General features: G+C 32.5%; 1 protein-coding gene and 1 long non-coding RNA gene across 4 annotated transcripts in view; one reads left to right on the top strand and one right to left on the bottom strand.

Annotated features, from left to right (window-relative positions):
* Positions 1-19,545, top strand: part of TRDN (triadin) — a 420,612-nt gene that overhangs the window by 284,265 nt on the left and 116,802 nt on the right. For 2 of the 3 annotated variants that reach the window (NM_001407315.1, NM_001251987.2), the window contains one exon: positions 100-3,206. In NM_001407315.1, the coding sequence (NP_001394244.1) occupies positions 100-161 (62 nt within the window). In that variant the 3' untranslated portion in view covers positions 162-3,206. Of the gene's footprint in view, positions 1-99; positions 3,207-15,016; positions 15,068-19,545 lie in introns of those variants that run through there. The other variant, NM_006073.4, reaches the window with a different exon arrangement.
* On the bottom strand, positions 14,970-19,540 carry LOC105377984 (uncharacterized). The gene is made up of 3 exons (XR_942947.3): positions 19,398-19,540; positions 16,686-16,755; positions 14,970-15,054 (listed from the first exon to the last, which is right to left on the bottom strand). It is a non-coding gene; the product is annotated as an uncharacterized LOC105377984 (long non-coding RNA).

The following is a 19,545-nucleotide window of genomic DNA, read 5'->3' as shown; positions in this document are numbered from 1 at the left end:
AGAAAGATTTAGCATTGAAAGAACTCCAAAATGCTTTTTTTGAGCAGAAGCAGTATTTCTGTCTGGAACTCTTCTTTAAACCTTATCTTTGTTTTGCAGCTGTACCTGGAAAGAAGGAAGAGAAAACAACCAAGACAGTGGAGCAAGGTAAAAAAAAATGAAGGAGGTTGACATTATCTTCTTTAGAAAGACAACAACATGCGGAGGAAAGCACTGGATTCAGACAGGCGGAAGACAATAACCTTTAAGTCTATTACTCTTTATCACTGTCCTTGCATGTTTTTCTGTGCCAGGGAGAATGTGAGACAGCAATCTGGGTTGGTCTTTCTTTTGTGTAACTGAACTTTGAATATCAGTTCCGAACAGGGAAACTCCCCAAACTGTTTAATTACATCAGGGGACATGCTGAAGATTGCTGGGAATAAGACAATGATCCAGGGTAACTGGTAGACATATTCCTATTTGATTTGTGGTTTTAACACCACCTTACTGATTATAATTTGAAAAATAAAGATGGCCCAATCCTATACATGCAAAAACTATTTCTGTTGCTTGAAAAAAAATATGTAAAAGTTAAAATGAAGAAAATAACAGCAAAAATAGAGTATATTATGATATATACTATATTATGACTTCAACCATTCTCCCAAGAGGTCTGAAATTTCAGTGTTATAAATCATAATGGTATAAAATAGTTAATGCATTTTATTTGTATTTATGTAGTTATATCATAAATAGATCACTCCAGACTCTGCTTGAGAAAAATGCTACAGTACACTAAACTTAAAACATTTAAAGTGATGTGGCTTCTCTTAGAGCTCAAGTGTGCTAATAATTTTAATTGTCGTTCCCTCATGTCATTGCTCTTATATAATAATACTATATTTATTGTAATAAATTAAATTAGAACTTGCAATAATTTTATCAAGAACAAAGTCTAAATGATTTCTCCTTCAAATTTGAGATGCAATTAAATGTATGAAATCCTAATATCAGAAGTTAAGATCTTTTGACATAAATATATCAAGAAAATCCTTCAATCCCTCACATGTCAAATAAGTAAACTAAGGTTAAGAATTCAGTTAAGTAAAAAGATTGGTTAAGAATTTATTTCCTTGGGCTTTTCAAAATAAAATCCCTTTATAATTGCATGGAAAATGTTTTCCAATTTATTCTGGCTTCTGGGGACTCTGAAATTTTACAGTTCAGTAGATGTTTCTGTTGGTTTCTTTTTGAAGAAGAGTGGAATTTTAGTTTCTGAAATATAAAGTGGGAGCACTGGATCCTAATTTCAGTGTGTTCATTTATGCGTGTTCCTGAGTCTAAATTTATTTTTTTAAAAAATAAAGGTAATTATCCCTGATCTGCCCATCTGAGAAGATGTTGTATAGGGCAAACATGAAAACATATGTGAAAGGATATGAAAATGTGTAAACTTCTAGATAAGCATGTAACAGATACTTAGGCATTTTTTCTTATAAAATCAATTTCAACACAGATGACATAAATTATCAAATTACTTTGATTTCATTGAGTTTTATAGCTTTCCCCCTCTAGTATAAAAGTGCTGATTACTCATGATATTCATAGGTTGTTTTCATAGCCACAGTATATCAAAAGAAGATTGACTAGATATAAAACACCCACACTAATAATAGTACCAAACAGACAATTGATTTGAAAACATTGTTTCTTTCTTCTGATCATCACATTGGTGTCAGTTTCATTAATTTTATAATGTCTCCTCTAGTGGACAAGAGACTGGAAATGGTTCTTAGAGATAGGATCTTACTCCTTCAGATGATTTTATAATTTTGTTTACTAAAATCTTCTTTTATCTTATTAAAGCTTAGGCTCTTGGATTGTGTGAAAAAAATGAGGTTCTTTCAATGGCTATTTTTATATTGACTTGGTAAATCATTTCAATTTTAAATATTGTATGACAATGGCCTCATATTTTTCAATCATAACAATCATAGGAAATAATATATTTGGATATTTTGCATATTTTTATGATAGTATATCTATTACTAATAACTGATACAAAAAATAGATATTTTGTGCTTTTAATAAAGTAATATGAGAAGTAATAATGACATTCTATAAATTGTCCCATATTCTAATAGTTATGCATAATGCTTTAAGACTTGTATACTTTGCTTTCTTACATAGTTTTTAGTTATCTTCAGAAGTATAAATAATCTATTAGTTTATAATTCATTGAAATATAGTTAAATTCTCTTTAAATATTTATTTTATTTATTTGTTTAAACATGTGGACTTTATTTAGAAAAATTATATGATTTTTGTTACTCTTAATAGAGTTTAAGTACACTTTGTGATCTGAGTATAATTGTGCATATTGAATCTCTGGACTTAAATACTATGGATATTCCAGTATCTCAAAATTAAGTTGAAAGTTTTATTACAGAATAATGTAGTATTCAGTTCTCTTAAGAATTAAAAATCACTTCGACAGTCAGTTAAGAAGAAACACGACAAAAATATTTTTAGGTAATTAAATAAGATTTGTCTACTAACCATCAAGAATAAATTTTAACACAGTTAGTAAACATTTTATTAAGTATAAAGTTGGAGCCTGTTGATCATAAATGTATCAGAGTTCACTATAATAAAATATTCAACTTTGCCTTAAATTAAGGAATGTTTCAAAATTCATAAATGGGCTAATTTGTGTCCACTTGAAGAGTTTCTTTCTTTGCTTTTGATGCTATTCTGTAAACAATGGTTCCCTACATAATTGTAATAGTGTTTTACGTTGTCACAACACCAGGCAAAACCCAAGTGCTATTGCAAGCTTTGTAAATCTATCACTGTCCTCATCCACCTTATCAGATTCTTCTCTTCTTTGTGTATGCACTGGTCTTTTTAAAATCTGTGATGTGTACTGATTGTAGATTTATTCCATACTTTCAAGTGAATGCTAATAATATCTAAGAGTAATGATTTCCCTGAGAAAACTTTATCCATTTGAATATAATGAATGTTCATATTTCTTGGTGTACCAAAGTTATAAAAAAAGACAGAAACAATTTTACATTTAAAATCAATGAAGTAAAACAGAAGATTTAGTTAACACAATTGTATTTAATTATTTGCTTAATATGTATTTTTAAAATAACTTATTTGCATATGTTGACTAAGTCATGCTGTTGACCCTCAATAAATGTTAAATTATGATAATATTATAGATTCCTGTGAATTCTAAACTTTTTGACAATACTTCGTGCTTTGGTTGTTTAATATTTATTGAGCGCCCACAACTGGCCAGGCGCTGGGGAATGGGTGTGAGGGGCATAGCATGGGCTTCGGAGAGAAGATGGTCTATATTGAAGGCAATGCATGAAAACGAGGATACTCTCCTTGTTTATGTAGTTTATATATTTTCAAGAGAACCATTAGCAACTCAATTCTCCACTCCACTGCCTCACTTACTCACATAATACATTTTACTTCTTCTTACTCTTATTTTACTTAATATTATGAAAACAATTTATTCTTATATTTTATCTCATTAATGGGAAATTACTTTCTAGTCCCTTCTTTTCTAACTCTTTCTTTCCACTAACACTATTCCTTTAATAAGAGAAAGATCTAAATCCTACTTATCACAGCAGAATAATACGTACTCAATGGAAGTTCATATTGTTAACATTAATTTCTCATAGAGGTCTGCTTTCTGCCATGCAATATTTGATTCATGTGATTCAGACATTGATGGGATTGCTATTCAACATTAAAGAGAATTTCACCCCAAAAAATGGGCAATGTGTGTCAATTATGTCTGTGAGGAAATAACCAACTTTATGTATCCCTTTGACATTCTAGACAAGATTATATAAAAGAAATCAGAAGTTCATTATAATGTTCACCATGCAACATTATGAGTTTAAGATTATTGAGCTGCTAATTTCATTTTTTATCGATTAATATTTACCTTCACTCCTGCTATTATGCTGAAGCCACAGTAGGTTGTATCTCTTTTTCCCTTAAGAATCTTTAATAGAAAGTATATTACAAGCTGCTACATTACAAAGCTGAGTGGTCAGAGCAAAGATTGTTTCCTGAGAAATTTTGTTTCCTTTTTATTTATTTTCTTCTTTTATTTACAGATTAGCTTTCCACTACAGGCCTAATTATGAAAAGACAAATGAATTGGTTTTCACTATCTTAAATACAGTTCCTTATCATCAATTACTTTTCCAGTTCCTGGACCAAATTAATGAAATTTAAGTTTCATACTCTAAAATTAAATCACAGAAATAATCTGAAACCATCAGCCCTATGTAAAAATGCATTGTTACTGTATTCTCATTGTAAATTAAGTTACACATTTCAGGTCAAGTAATTTTAGTAATGAAAATCAACACTTTATCAATATTCTACACAACATTTACCTGCATCTTAGTGACTATTATTGTCCCAATTTTTATAGACCAATGATATATTACAAGCTAGTTGTAAAGCAATGCTTTAAGAGTCAAAATTTAACTCAGATCTTGGAATGTCAAAGTAGTAGTTAAAAGTTTTTCATCATTATGACCTGTAAAGTCTGGGTTTTACTTCACTTGATTTTTATACAGAAAAAAAAGGAAAAATTATTTCCCAGACAGAGAATCTGCATTCTCATTTCAAGACTTTACATTGCATTCCATGATCAAAAATTCTTAACTTGGAGTTAGCGCTTACAACTTTGGTCTTCAAAGAAGAAATAATTGATGATAGCCAGTGGCAATTATAAAATGTTAACCTGCTTGAACAATAGAGCACAGAGCTATCTCCAAATAAAACTTTGGGCTTAGTTTAGCTCTATCAATCATTTGTTCTGTGACTGGGCTACTTATTTGCCTTGCACTGCCTTTTTTAAATAAGCAAATATTATTGTATTAAGCTATCTCTAAAGGACCTTCCATCTCTAATATTGTTCAATTCTCACTTGTAAGACATGTTTTCCATGCTCAAGACATTTCCACATTGCCCCCAATGCTGAAGAACAAGCTGTCTTCTGATTGCAAGTACAATCAATCAACAGGAAAGTCCAATTTAGATTATAAAATGAAAATACCTTAAAATATTATTTAAATCTACTAAATGGAATGACAATATTTAAAGTTTTGCTGATACTTTACATTACACTTAAATTTCAAAAATATCTCAGGAATAAGGCATGCTATTGGGTACCAAATTAAATGACATAAAATGCTTTAAGTAAGGTTGTAAGCATGAGAATTAGTAATAATGGCACACAGGATATAGAAAGTATGCCCTTGATACACACAGAAAAAAAACTATAAAAAATGGGGCAGAAGAACTTAATGTCTCTGGAGATAAGATAATGTAGATAACAACTGTGTGTGACGGGTGGTTTCTGATTATTTTTACAACATGGCAATAATGACTTTGTACTGTCAGTTTTTCAGTACGTACTATATTCTCTTAGCAAAATTTTGCAAATTCATTGGTACAATGGCAGGAACAAGTTTGGCTTTAGGATCTTTAAATCCTTATCACTGGAAGCATATACATTTAAATTCCTTAGAGGGTAACACAAGTTCCTTTTGCTACCAAGCCTCAGTGTGACTTTCCAGCCAAGGTTCACTGTTTCTACCCCACGTTCTCCATTCAAGAATCCACATGAACTTTCACACTCCATGGTATTCTTATGTTTTTTTTTTATGTTTGAAATGCCTTTCTAATTCTTCTTTCATTCCAAATTTTATCAGTTTTTGAATCCATCACAAATGCCAGTGTTTCTGTGAAGTCTTCTTTCATTTTCTCAGGTCGAGTTTGCCAGTCTTTCTGCTATGCACCCAGAGTTCTGAGCCCTTTATCATCGTATTTAATCTGTCTATGTGGTTGCATCACAACACAGTTCGAACTCCACACAATCTTCCTTATTTTTCCAGCTCTCAGTAGAAAAGAGACACTCAACAAATATCTATTAAATATAATATGGTTTATCTTTTAAAACACAAACTTGTGTCCTCCTTTTATAATATCATTTTCAAGAGAAAGGATTCTAGGGGTCCTGGACTTCTTTATCCACAGGAGAGACACTCTGTCATTCTGGTAAGCACAACACAAAGAACAGTTTCTGGTTTGTTGAAATAGCATCGGCTTTTATTTTACTCCAACCAAACCCTTTTTGAGAGTCTTGGACCTCAATTTTCTTTCTGTGTACATATCCATCACAAAGATTACAATACAGTTAGTGTGGAAATTTTTTAAAAATTTAATAAAAATCTAAAATATAAAAAATCAAATTCAACAATACATAAAAAGAATTATACGTATTCCAGATATGCAAGTCTAGTTTGACATTTGAAAAGTGTTTAAGTAATCAATAACATCAACAGGCTAAAGAAGAAAAAAACACATGACCCTATGAATAGTAATGGTAAAAGCATTTGAGAAAATCTAACACCCATTGATGGTTAAAAACTCTCAGCAAACTAGGAATAGACAGAAAATTCTTAAACTTGGTAAATAATTTTTACAAAAATCCTACAGCTAACATTCTATTTAATGGTGCGAAGTTAAAAGCTCTCTTGCTGAGGTCAGGAACACGGCAAGGATGTTCGCTTTCACGCCCCTTCATCAACATCATACTGAAAGTTTTAGCGAATGCAACAATATAAGAAAAGGAAATAAATGGTGTACAAGTTGGGAAAAAAATAAAACTGTATTTGTTCAAATATGACTTATTTATGTAGAAAATTCCAAAAACTTCCTGGAACTAATCACAGAATATAACAAGGTTTCAGGGCGCAAAGTTAATATGCAAAAGTCAGTTACTCTGTTATATCAGTAATGAAAAATTTGAATGAACAAGATTAAAAACACAACGATCACTTATATTGGCACCAAAAACATAAACACTTAGGTATATTTTTTAAATTATGTATAAGACCTGTTGGAGGGAAACCACGTAAAAGAAATAAACAGAAACTAAATAAATTGAGAGATACTCCATATTCATTGATACAATGACTTAGTATTGTCAAGCTGCCAATTCTTCCTAAATTGAGCTACAGATTTAACACAATTCCAAAAACAATTCTAGCAAGTTATCTTGTGGCTATTGACAAACTAATTCTAAAGTTTATATGAAAAGGCAAAAGACCCAGAAGAGCCAACACAGCACTGGAAAATGAGAATTAAGTGGCAAACTGACACTACTGAACTTCACAACTTACTGTAAAAATACAGTAATCAGGACAGTATGATATTAGTGAAAGAATAGACAAATAAATCAATGAAAGAGAATAGAGAACTCAGAAATGCACTCACAAAAATATAATCAGCTGATCTTTGACAAAGGAGAAAAAACAATTTGCTGGAGAAAGGATAGACTTTTGAACAAATTGGTGTTGCAACAACTGGACATCCATAAACAAAAATAAAAAAGAAAACAAAAAACCCTCAAAAATAGTCTTTACGTCCTCCACAAGAAAATTAACTCAAAGTGGATCATAGACCTAAATGTAAAACATAAAACTATAAAATTCCTGGGAAATAACATAGAAGATTTAGGTGTCCTTGGGTTTGACAATTACATTTTAAATAAAACACAAAAGACAAAGTCCATGAAAGAAAAAAAATATATAAGTTGGGCTTATAAGATATAAAGATGGGAATAAGCATATGAAAAGATGTTCAACATAACATGTCATTAGATTAAAACAATGAGATACCACTACACACCTATTAAAATAGCTAAAATCCAAAACACTAACAATACAAAATGCTGGGGAGGGTGTAGAGCAACAGAAACTCTCATTCTTTGCTTGTGGAAATGCAAAAAGACAATTTGGCAGCTTCTTAGAAAACTAACCTTACTCTCACGATGCAATCCAGCAATTACGCTCCTTGGTATTTATCCAAATAAGCTGAAAACTTATGTATATGCAAAAACCTGCACACAAATGTTTATATCAGCTTTATTCGTATTTCCTAAAACTAGGAAGCAACCAAGATGTCCTTCAATAGGTGAACAGATAAATAAATTCTGGTACATTAATATAATGAGATTTTTATTCAGTGTGGAAAATACATGAGCTGTCAAGCCATAAAAATACATAGAAGAACCTTAAATTATATTTCTAAGTGAAATATGCCAATGTGAAGAGTCAACATGTTGTATAATTACAACTGTATGACATTCTGGAAAAGGCAAAAGTATGGAGAAAGTTAAAAACTCAGTGGTTACTAGGGTTTGGGGAGGAGAGAAGGGTGAATAGGTGGAGCATAGAGAATTTTTAGGGTAATGAAATTATTCTGAATGAAACTACAATGGCAGATACGTGTCATTATACTTTTGTCAAAATCTATAAGATGTATAAAACTAAGATTGAACCCTAATGTAAACTATGGACTTTGGTTGATAAAGATGTATCAATATTGCTTCTTGGATGGTAATAAATGTACCACACTCTTGAGGGATACTGATAGTGATGGAGCCTGAGTGTGCTTGAAGAGGGTGTATTAGTTTGGGCTGCTATAACAAACTGCCATTGACTGGGTGGCTTATAAACAACAAAACTTTATTTCTCACAGATCTGGAGGCTGGAAGCCTAAAATCAGGCTGCTAGAATGGTGATGTGCTGTGACAGCCCTCTTCTGGATTGCAAACTGCTGTCTTTTTGTATCCTGACATGCAGAAAGAGGGCAAGAGAGCTCTCTGGGGTTCCTTTTATTTTTCTAAGACCACTAATTTGATTAATGAGGGTTCCATGCTGATGACCTAATTATCTGCCAGAGGTGCCATACCATAACATTGGGAGTAGGATTTCAACATATGAATTTTGAAGGGACACGTTCAGTCTGTTACAGAAAGAATGTACAGGAACTCCGCACTTTCTGATTAGTTTTGCTGTAATCATAAATCTACTCTAAAAATTAAGGTCTATTAATTTTTTTTATTATTATACTTTAAGTTTCAGGGTACATGTGCACAATGTGCAGGTTAGTTACATATGTATACATGTGCCTTGGTGGTGTGCTGCACCACTAACTCGAGTGCACGGAAATCTCGAAGAATTAGTCCAGTTCACTAAGTTAATTTTGAAGTATATTTTGAAATTTTATACCATGAGTAGCAGAAAGATATATTAAAAGCCTCCTTTATTTTGATTATATTAATAATTATTCAGTTAACATTTTTTCTTATATTCAATTATATTTCTTCAATTTTTCAATATATATCATCTTATAAATTAAGTTTCAATTTGAACAGTTACACTATAATGAGAATGATTCTTGAGATCCCACATAAATGTGTTTTAGGACAGGATTTCCATTTTAAAAAGTTCAAAAGACAATATAGAATATAATGAATAACATTGTTATAGAAATAAAGAATGTATTATATCTTAAATGAATGGATAATCAGAAGTTATTATAAAAAATAAATGGGCATAAAAGTGTAATATATGTGTGTGAGATTACTGAACTTTGGAAAGTCACTCAAAATTTCTTAGATAACAAAAAAAATAAAATGTGAGGTAAACATTGGATTTAAATATACGTAATTTTCTTTTTTGTCCAGGAAGACTATCAGATATTGGCCATTTCATTTTACTTGACACTTTTGCCACACAAAGATTACAAATTGGAAAATGGCTAATCATGAAAGATGTTTATAATGATGATCAGGTTACTGTGTAAAGATTTGACAATAAGTTTCCTGATAAAATGTGATCAGCACAAAATTTGACAAATTTATTAACTCATTCAACAGATAGTTGTGGAATTTCGAGTATGTGTTAGGCTACCTAGTCCCTGCTTCAGACATATGATTTGCAAGGCTGTGGCAGGCTGGCAGTTATGAAGAACATTGATGTTATTTGGTGATTCAGATAGGCACCCTGTTCACTTTTAGGAACAATTTGTGGTGATATCTACTTTATAATCCAGGATGCTCCCAGAGGTATAGTGTAGAAATTTAACCCTAACTTTGTCATCTCATAACCTGGGTTCAAATTTTCCATTCCAATTTACTAGCTGTAACCTTGGGCAAGTTACTTATCTCTTAGCTTCAGATATCACATCTATAAAATTATGGATAATACCTACCTCTTTGGAGACAGGTGAGAAGTTAAAGCGATCTTATGTTAAAAAATGCCTAACTACACAAAATAATGCTTTATCATTATACGTGGATACAGGAATTTCCTTGAGCCCTGCCCTCAAGGAAATTACAGTATTGTAATAAAGTTATTATCTTAATTTAAACATGGAAGCTTTGACATCTTAAATTGATGGGACTACACTAGAAAAATTTCATGACTAATAAAATTTTCTTTGAAAGAGTATTCTTTAGTGGTTCAGTAGCCAACCCTGTCCCTAAGATATCCTAGTTCATCTCATCTCCCCAACATTAAAATAGAAGTTAATAGAATGCATATCTAATTTCTTATCAAATAAAGGAGGGCTAATTTTATGTTTTTATATCTTTAAATATTCCTGATCTTTCTGAAAGAGCTAGACAGAGATGAACTAAAGTGCACCCTACTAATTTTGATTAGTAGTCAGATTATTAAGGCGCATAAGGATAAGAATATCAAAGTGTGTATATATGAATACTCCAATGCTTGCAGCCGAGGCACACAGCCTCAAAACCTAGTAATTATGAAATTGAACCAGAATTTAGTCAAAGGAAAAGGTTATTTAGATTGTTTCAAGAGAAGCCCCTCAGCTAAGGTAATTTGAAGAACTATACTACTATAAGGAAGAGCTTATCAAAAAGACTAGAATACTGACACTACTGCATAAGGCTGTTATTTCACATTCTTATGCCTTTGTATATGTCACTGTTTTAACATGCCAATACAGCCCAGCTTGTCTAGAATATACAAGTGTAATTTAAGGAAGCTCTTCAAAGAAGTATTTACAAAGTGTTATATAGTATTTTCTAGTTGATGCTTTTGGAATTCACTTATTCTCCATCCCCTAAATATGTTAAATATATAACTAAAATCTGAGAGAATAGTCTAATTTCCCTTATTTACAATTTCTTGAGGAATATCTTCCCACAGTCTTCACGTACTGACAACATTGTTCAGATGTCATTCAAGAAAATTTTATATTATGCTTTTTAATTGGGTTGTCCAGTTAGAGATAGAGGATTACACAGGTTGCAAAATTTTATTCTTTTTAAATAAAATATAAAGACTATGAAATAAATAAAAGTCCCAAGTTTAAAAAGATAGCAATGCATAGATATAATTCAACTGGAAACACTGTAAAGATTTTAAAACATATATTCAGGAAAAAAATGTAAAATGTTAAAAAACTATATTTACCAAGTTCTTTAGCCCAATAGAATACAAAACAGTTAAATGTATCATTATGACAAAGAGAAAGTTAAAGACAGTGTCCTGACCAAGTTATATTTAATTACAAAGTTAATGAAGTGTCTACAGTAAAATTAGTCTGTTATATCTTTCAGAAGAATTCAAATTTACTGTTACATAAAGCATCAATATATTATTATTTCCTTCATGATAATTGTAAACACAATATTTTAAATCATTTAGGCAACTTGAAAATTCTGTCTCTGTATTTACTTATAAATTTTATATGTTGGAGTTTGTAGTAGATTGAAAATATTATAAAATATATTTTTAAAAATATCCTGGATTATCAAAATTGCATTCGAATTAAAATAAAACAAAGAGACATTCATGTAAGGGATTCACATATTAACTATTAAAACAATTATGCAATTAATCACTATTAAATAACTTTAGGAACAGTGCAGTATCATATTAGGAAGCAACCACAAGATGTTGTGAGACAATTTTATTTTCTTTTTTGATGCTGTGTGATGATGTGCGTTATAAGTTACACTCTGGGAAATTATCAGATATCGTTTCACTTTCAGATAAAGCTTGCCAGGTGGTTCTTTACAATTATTCTTTCCATCAGAAGAAAAGTCCAAAAAGTTTGGTATGTTGGTATTATTCATTATGTTCGTGAAAAAATATCTCAGATCAGCAAGCATCTTATAACTACAAAAGAGAAAGAGAGAGAGAGTTTTTGAAGTTATATTTCTGAGCACTTCAGTAGAGCAAGCTGGGTAAGAAAGATTAAGAATTTTGAATTTGGTTCTTTATAGAACCAAGGGATCTTAACTGCCTGATAATTTTGTTAGAATCCTTTACACTTTCCAATTTCACTTTCTTTTTTTGTTCTAGCTATGTTCAATGTTGACACCAAGCCAGAAAGCTCCAACAAAATATTTGTATTAACATTCTCACTAAATGTCACTAATGATAAAACTGAATTTATACTTGATCATTCAGAGCAATGAATAATAAATAATAGGCAGATCAATGGTATTAATAATTACTGCTGTTTCCTTTAAACAGATGAATACTTGTAGTTTGGATTCAAAATGTTTATGCTTGTGTCAGGAAAGAACTCTAGGGCTGATATCCTCTGTTATAAGACTTTCCACTATTTCAGTCTTTTGTCTTGTCTTTTTCATGAGCCTCTTTTTTCAAAGAATTCTTGTGGAAGGAAAAGGAAACACTATTGCCATATATACCTTTTATATTCTACAATACAATTAAAAGTAAAAGCTCTTTGCTATTTATTTTTGGTTAAATATACTCAGGCCCATAACTTAAACTGGAAAATTCCTGGATGCATTTCTATTGAGTATTATTTTCAAAATGAATAGTTTTTATCTCAGATTATTTAAAACTCGACTTCTATAGCTATTTTGATCATAATCTGTATTTTAAATTTTTAAAGGTCTGGCAATAGCACATCAAAATGTATAAAGTTAAGGCCATCACTACCAATATATAAATGATATGTCAATACAGACAAATTATATGAGATTGGATTTGAAACATGCCGGTAAAAAGAACAGCTGAGAACACTAGTCTTAGTGTGTGGGTGTGTTTTCACCAGTCACATATTATTAAGAAAATAATTGTTCACTTTCTGGTTTATTTTGCTTTTGTATAATTGGTTTACTTAATAAGTCAAGTCAGTCTGTGTGAACAAAGCAAATAAGATTAATTTGAGGCCTTTGAAAAAACAAGCTACTAGTTATATTGATAGTTTTCATTTATAAGGAATACTGTAGGTTGCTTTGCAGCACCTGTAAATGATCTGCACTTCACCTGTTTTTTCCAACTGCTTGCTGGATGTTTCCTTTTTGGGCGTCCTGTTGACATATGAAACACAATACTTTCAAAACAGAAATAATGTCTTCCTCCAAAGACCTCTCCTTTTTACATTTTGTATCTCAGGTGAGGGAAAATTATCCTACTGTAAGCCAAGTAAGAACTCTAAGAACCATTCTCAGCTTAAAAAACAAAAACAAAAACAAAAAAACCTAATACATGGCCGGGCATGGTGGCTCACGCCTGTAATCCCAGCACTTTGGGAGACCGAGTTCAGCAGATCACTTGAGGTCAGGAGTTCGAGACCAGCCTGGCTAGTATGGTGAAAACCTGTCTCTACTAAAAATACAAAAATTAGCCGGGCATGCTGGTGGGTGCCTGTAATCCCAGCTACTTGGGAGGCTGAGGCAGGAGAATCACTTGAACCTGGGATTTCAGTGAGCCAAGATCGCGCCACTGCACTCCAGCCTGGCAACAAAGCAAGACAAAAAAAACAAAAACAAAAACAAAAAAAAACCCCTAATACATCTACTTACAGTTATGCAATTAAAATGGCATTTCCTGGCCAATGAAATTCCACCCAATTTATAAGCCTAAATCTAAATGGCGTACTCTCAGTGAAAACCTTCCCCAATTTTAAAATTAGAATTAATAAATTCTTTCCCTATTATCTATATAACTTTACTGGAGTACTTTTCACAGGGTCAAATATTTTGCTCTTTGTTGATTAACTACCTTTTCACAACTATTTCTACATACAGGCCATTTCAAAACTTAGTGGTGTAAAACAACAGCTGATTTCATGTTGTTCATCATTTAGTAGGTCAGGACTTCAGGAGGATACAGTAGGCTGTTTTCACTTGATTATCTCATGTGATTGCAGTCAGATGTCTGGCTGGGCTGCAGTCTTGTAAAATCACTGACTCCTGGATGTGAAGGATGGCTCTCTCAGAGGGCTGGCAGTTGATACTAGCTGTTGGCTGGGAGCTCAGCTGGGGCTGTTAGTTGGACTGCCTAGATGTAGCCTCTCCAGCATGGTGGTGTTAATTAGATTACTCACATGGCAGCTGCATTTCCCAAAGCAGGTGTCACTAGATTAGCAGGTGAATACTGCATGACCTTTTTTGATTTCGCCTTGGAAGTCACACAGCATCACCTCCACTTCTGTTGGTTGTAAATGGCCTACGGAGCAAAACTGATAGATCTGCCCTGTCCAGGCCTCCCATTCTCTCTCTGTTTCTCTAAAATGTGTCTTTCTTTCCATTTCATGTTTGTGGGTCTAATTTCTTTCCCTTGTCAAGTTCTGCCTCAGTACTACATACTTTCTTACATCCTTCACTGAGCCCATTATGCAACTACTGGAGCCAGTACTTATGTGCTTGAGAGCATAGATATAGTGGTTCAAATCCAAGGTCTCCTATTTAAAGATCTTGGAAAGTTATTTAATCAATTTATGTGAAAAGTAGAAATAATAACAGAACCTATATACCTCATGGAGTTGTGAGCACTGAATGAGAAAATGGTAGAGAATATTGCCTGACACGTAGTAAGTAGACAATGTTAGCTATCATTCTTATATCTTTCTTCTTCAAAGCCCATGTTAGTTTACATGTACCTTTTTTTGTATATATGGCATAGTCTGTACTAGTGATAGAAATTCATGGGCTTATTTTCTATTGTTTACATATTTAGTCCAATGTCTTATAGACAACATATGCCTGGAGACATTTGTATTGTGAATATCAACTCAGATGCCCTGTGATCTTAAGCCTCAGTATACAAAACACATGAAGAGACTTGCATTTTTTTCCTCTCTTATTCCTTGTAACTTTTTCTTCCCATGATCTCTCTTGCAGAAATTAGAAAAGAAAAATCTGGGAAGACTTCTTCAATTCTGAAAGATAAAGGTAACAGAGTTAATTTAATATAATATTACAAATTTATTAGGAAATATATATTATTGAGAACACAGTACATTAGCTGCATCCCCTTTGCAAATATGTAAACCAGAACTGCAGAGGTCACACACATATTTTTAAAAACTTGTGTTTATTTGTTTGTCTCTAAAATTATTTCTTCTCATTATTACCAAGAAAGTGCTCTGATTACAATTCCCAAAAATCCCAAAGAGAAAAGAAAGAAAAATGAAAAAAGGTTTTTTTAATGAAAAAGATAAAAAATATAGAAGGGAAGTAAAGAATATTAAGAAGCACTTGTCCCCAAATTCTCTGATTCTCTCCTTTCTATTCCTAAAATATATATTTAGTGCATAATATATCCCAAGCACTTGGTAAACATTGGAGATGATGATGACAACAAAAATGGCAAAGCTACAAATAGGAAGTAATATTTGGTAATTAGAACTCTGCATTCTGATATTTTCAAATGCTCTGAGGCATATTCTGCCTGCGTTAGTCTTGTCACACTCTATATTGCTATGAAAAAGCATGAAATTCTTAATTAAATTTTGTAACTTCCATCTCCTGAATGGACTAACTGCCTTTCCTCTTTGCCTATGTAAATATTTAAACTGATCCTAAGAATAATGTCCACATACAGCATCAAGCCTTCTCTACCTATTTCAGCCTTCAATGAGTCCCCTCTCTTCTGAATTAACACACTTGTAATATTTATAATTTATTCTGTAGTACGTATATATGTGTTATATATATGTACTATAACATATAATTTATTATATAAGTGTGTGTAATATATGTATATATAATAAATTAACTAAAATTCATCTATTTAAATCTCAAGGTCTGATATTATTCACCTTAATTTTTTGTGTGGACTGATCAGTGCTATATTCAACAATTATTTATTCTGCATCTAATATGATGTAATTAATTCAGATACTAGACACAAAGGATGCAAAAAAAGCATAGACTATAATCTCTGAGAAGTTACAGTATTAATAACATAATTAAAATTATAATAATCATAAAGGAGGTACACAGGATGCTATGAGAGGGTGTAATAGGAGATTTTGATCAATTTTGTGTGACCAGGAAGTTTTTTCCTGGAGAAATAATATGAAATGTAAATGAGAAGGTGAAGAGTTTGCCTTTAAAGGTGTGGTAATTGTTTGGAGGAAGTCCAAAAGTGGTGCATCTACTCTTTGCCAGGCACCTTGATACCTACTTTACATATTTGTTTCAGCAAAATGTGCTAGCTACCTCTATTTTTGTGAACAAGGAATGTGAGGTCTAGCAATATAAGTTACTCAGTGTCACACTGTGGGTAATAGGGAAAGGTAAGAGTCAAAGTCATCTCTGCCCTACTTTAAATTCCATTTTTTCACTTTAACACAGACACTGCCTTTGTCTTAGAATAGGGGTCTTATATTTGTATTCACAAAAGCACTTTTGCTTTGAGTGTAGACCTTATAAAAACAAAAAAAAATCTATTTGGCATAGATGCATTGGACATACACTATGAAAAATAGTCTAAGTTCTTTTGCTATTGGGGTAACTACACTTAATTCTCACAGATGGGCTTAATCTATTTTTCTTTAGTGATTACCTGTATTTTGCGACAGTTCCATTCCCAGCCTCCACTCTCATGTAATATGAAAGTCAATAAAAACAGCGTCCTTGATTTTGTGAAAATCAAAATTGTCATGAAAACATACTATCAGGAAAAGATATACATACATAATTTGGAGTTCACAATTTGTAAAATCTAAATATTTCCTTCTTCCATTGTCATATGGAAGACATTTGGGGACATTAATGTCTTTATTTTAGTCTGCACTTATATCACAGGAATACTTGAACCACATGTTATTGTTCACTATGAAAGCAGCTCAAAAGAAAGGTTGGGGCTTAACTCCAAAGCTACACTTTGGGCAATGATAATTATCAAAACTTTTAACTATTACTTAAAATCTTCACATGTACCAAAGCTTAAACTAGTTGGAGGAATAATTGTTAAAATCTGTCCTGGAAAACATTATCTGGAGGAAATAAATCCACACTGACCACTTCATTAAGTAGGCTTTTGTAATTTCTAATATTGTTGCAATTGTATATTTTACATCATCCTAAATCAATAATCACATGCTGCAAACCTTATATACGTAATTTTCCAGTGATTGAAAATGTTAGAGAAAATAGTAGATAATTTTACAATTGACATTCCTTACTGAAAAGTTTTTGCTCAATGTAAAATTATCTACTATTTTCTCTAGAATTTCAATCACTAGAAAATTACATATATAAAGGTTTGCAGCATATGATTATTGATTTAGGATGATATAAATATATCTACTTTTTAATTCAAACTGCATTAATGCCCCCAAAATGCCTTTATTATATATAAGTCGAATACTGTTTTAGAAGAATTTCATTTTTCCTGAATATAATTTATCATTACTAAGTATCAAAGACAAAATTTTAATATTACCTATAAGATTTTAGGGACTTCAAAAGCCTCTGCAGTGTTATTGTTTTTGGAGAGTCTCTTTGAAGCCTGCTGCTAAGCTGTGGCAGAATCAGAATGCAGCAATTTCACTTGCTAAAAATTCACTTATTTTATTAGCGTTGTATTTTGTCAGTTACTTCTATTAAACCACTAAGAGATTACCTACATTTGCCTGTTACTCATACATTCCGCCTGCATGTGTACATCCAAATTCATTTTAAAATGATGCTTCAAGTTTAAAACCAGCATTATTACAAGGAAATCATTTGGAGCTGCATTTATCAGAGTTGTGATAACCATGAGTCACTGGGGGCATTCAGAGATACATTATTAGGCTTTTGCCTTTAAGTAAGGACATATAGAGTTCTAGGGATGACCGTTGCAAAGAAAAAAAAAATCAGGAGAATGATATGTCTTGCCAACTTTTGTTGCTGGTTCAGTTATTGACTTTCCTGGACCAGTGGACTCACTTAAGCCTTTTCAACACACCCACAGGGACATAGTCCTGCTTTTGAGGTCTTGACCATCCAGAAAACAGAAAATCCTGTTAGTGACCCATGATATTGGTTATCTTCCTTGTGGCATTCAACCCTATCCCTGATAACTTGTTTCTAACTCCTGGTCTGACATATCTGAGTATGGAAGATTCACCTACGGACTGAGAAACAGCAAACTGAATCCAAAGAGGCAACACAGTAGTTAAGTAATTTCTCCTCCTCTGAGAACAAAATAATAGCACTTTTAGGTTTCTCTGTTATTGGAGTAATACAATTGGACATCAAAATTATTGACTAGTTTTGCCCCCCACGTCTGTGTATGTTTGGATATAATGGCAGAGGAATCTTGACAGAACTGATCTTCTTTTACTGATGCTCAGGACTGTGCAACTTATGATCCCCCAACTTCCATTTGTCCTCAACATGTTTTTCTTGGCCATTTCCACTCAACAATTCAAAGCTAGAATTAAGGTTGGGGTAAGTTGTCTGAAGACTTCGAAACTCCTCCCCAGCCATGCTGTACTTCATCATGGATACTAACCCAGTTCCTCGTTACTGCCTTTGTCTCTGGGGGTAGTGTAAGGCAGTGGAAAATCTGAAACCATTTTCCTATCCCTTAGGGAATTATTTTTCCATAACAATGTTCGTGCCTCAATAATTTTGACAGAGTTCCACTTTATATCCCAGCACCATTAAACACTTTATAGGCCCTGATAATCAAGAACCATAAATCATCCTATAGACTCTTGGACAAACACAAAGAAACTACTATATTTTAAAAAATGTTTTCCAATATTCTGCTTTTGACAAACAAGATAGATAAGCTGAAAAGTGTCATAAGAGTTGACTCAAACCACTGATGTATCTCTCCTTCCTAATGCAGAAGTGCAGAGTTTCCATGTAATAATCTCTTCACTTTTTTGTCAGATTTAATATCCTCCTCACTTCCTTGGGTAGTTAGAGATTCCTCAGAGAAGTCTGTGGACTTCCTAAACTGGGACAAAAGCCCCTGAGGACAAAGTGGATGCTGAGAATCAATGATCTGTAGGAAAGTCAGTGCAAGTGATGACTCAGCCTAGGAACCGAAGGCATCTTGCCAGTAGCAAACTTGGAAATAGAAATCACTTTTATTTTCTGAGATCATTCTCCAAAGCTTACGGTATTGGGTTTACAATCTTTGAATGTCCTATAAAAGTGTATCTGTTATTCCACCCTTTCCTTCTCTCTCCACTAAAATCAATGTAGTTCTGTGGGCTCTCATTCTAGGTCCTGTATTTTATAAATACTAAACCCTCACACAAACATACACACTCACCCATTTAGATCAACATGCTGAATCTTGAATTCTGAGACTCGAAGCATTGCACTCTCCTGCCCCACTGGGAGTCTGTTCCCACCACCACTCCTCATTTCACAACACATTAATCCTTTTGGCTTAGCCAGGAAGTGCAAGAGCAGTAAAT

The sequence above is a fragment of the Homo sapiens genome, chromosome 6 (genome assembly GCF_000001405.40).
Source record: "Homo sapiens chromosome 6, GRCh38.p14 Primary Assembly".
Classification (NCBI taxonomy): Eukaryota; Metazoa; Chordata; class Mammalia; order Primates; family Hominidae; genus Homo; species Homo sapiens.
This window is presented reverse-complemented; position numbering and strand designations above follow the sequence as displayed.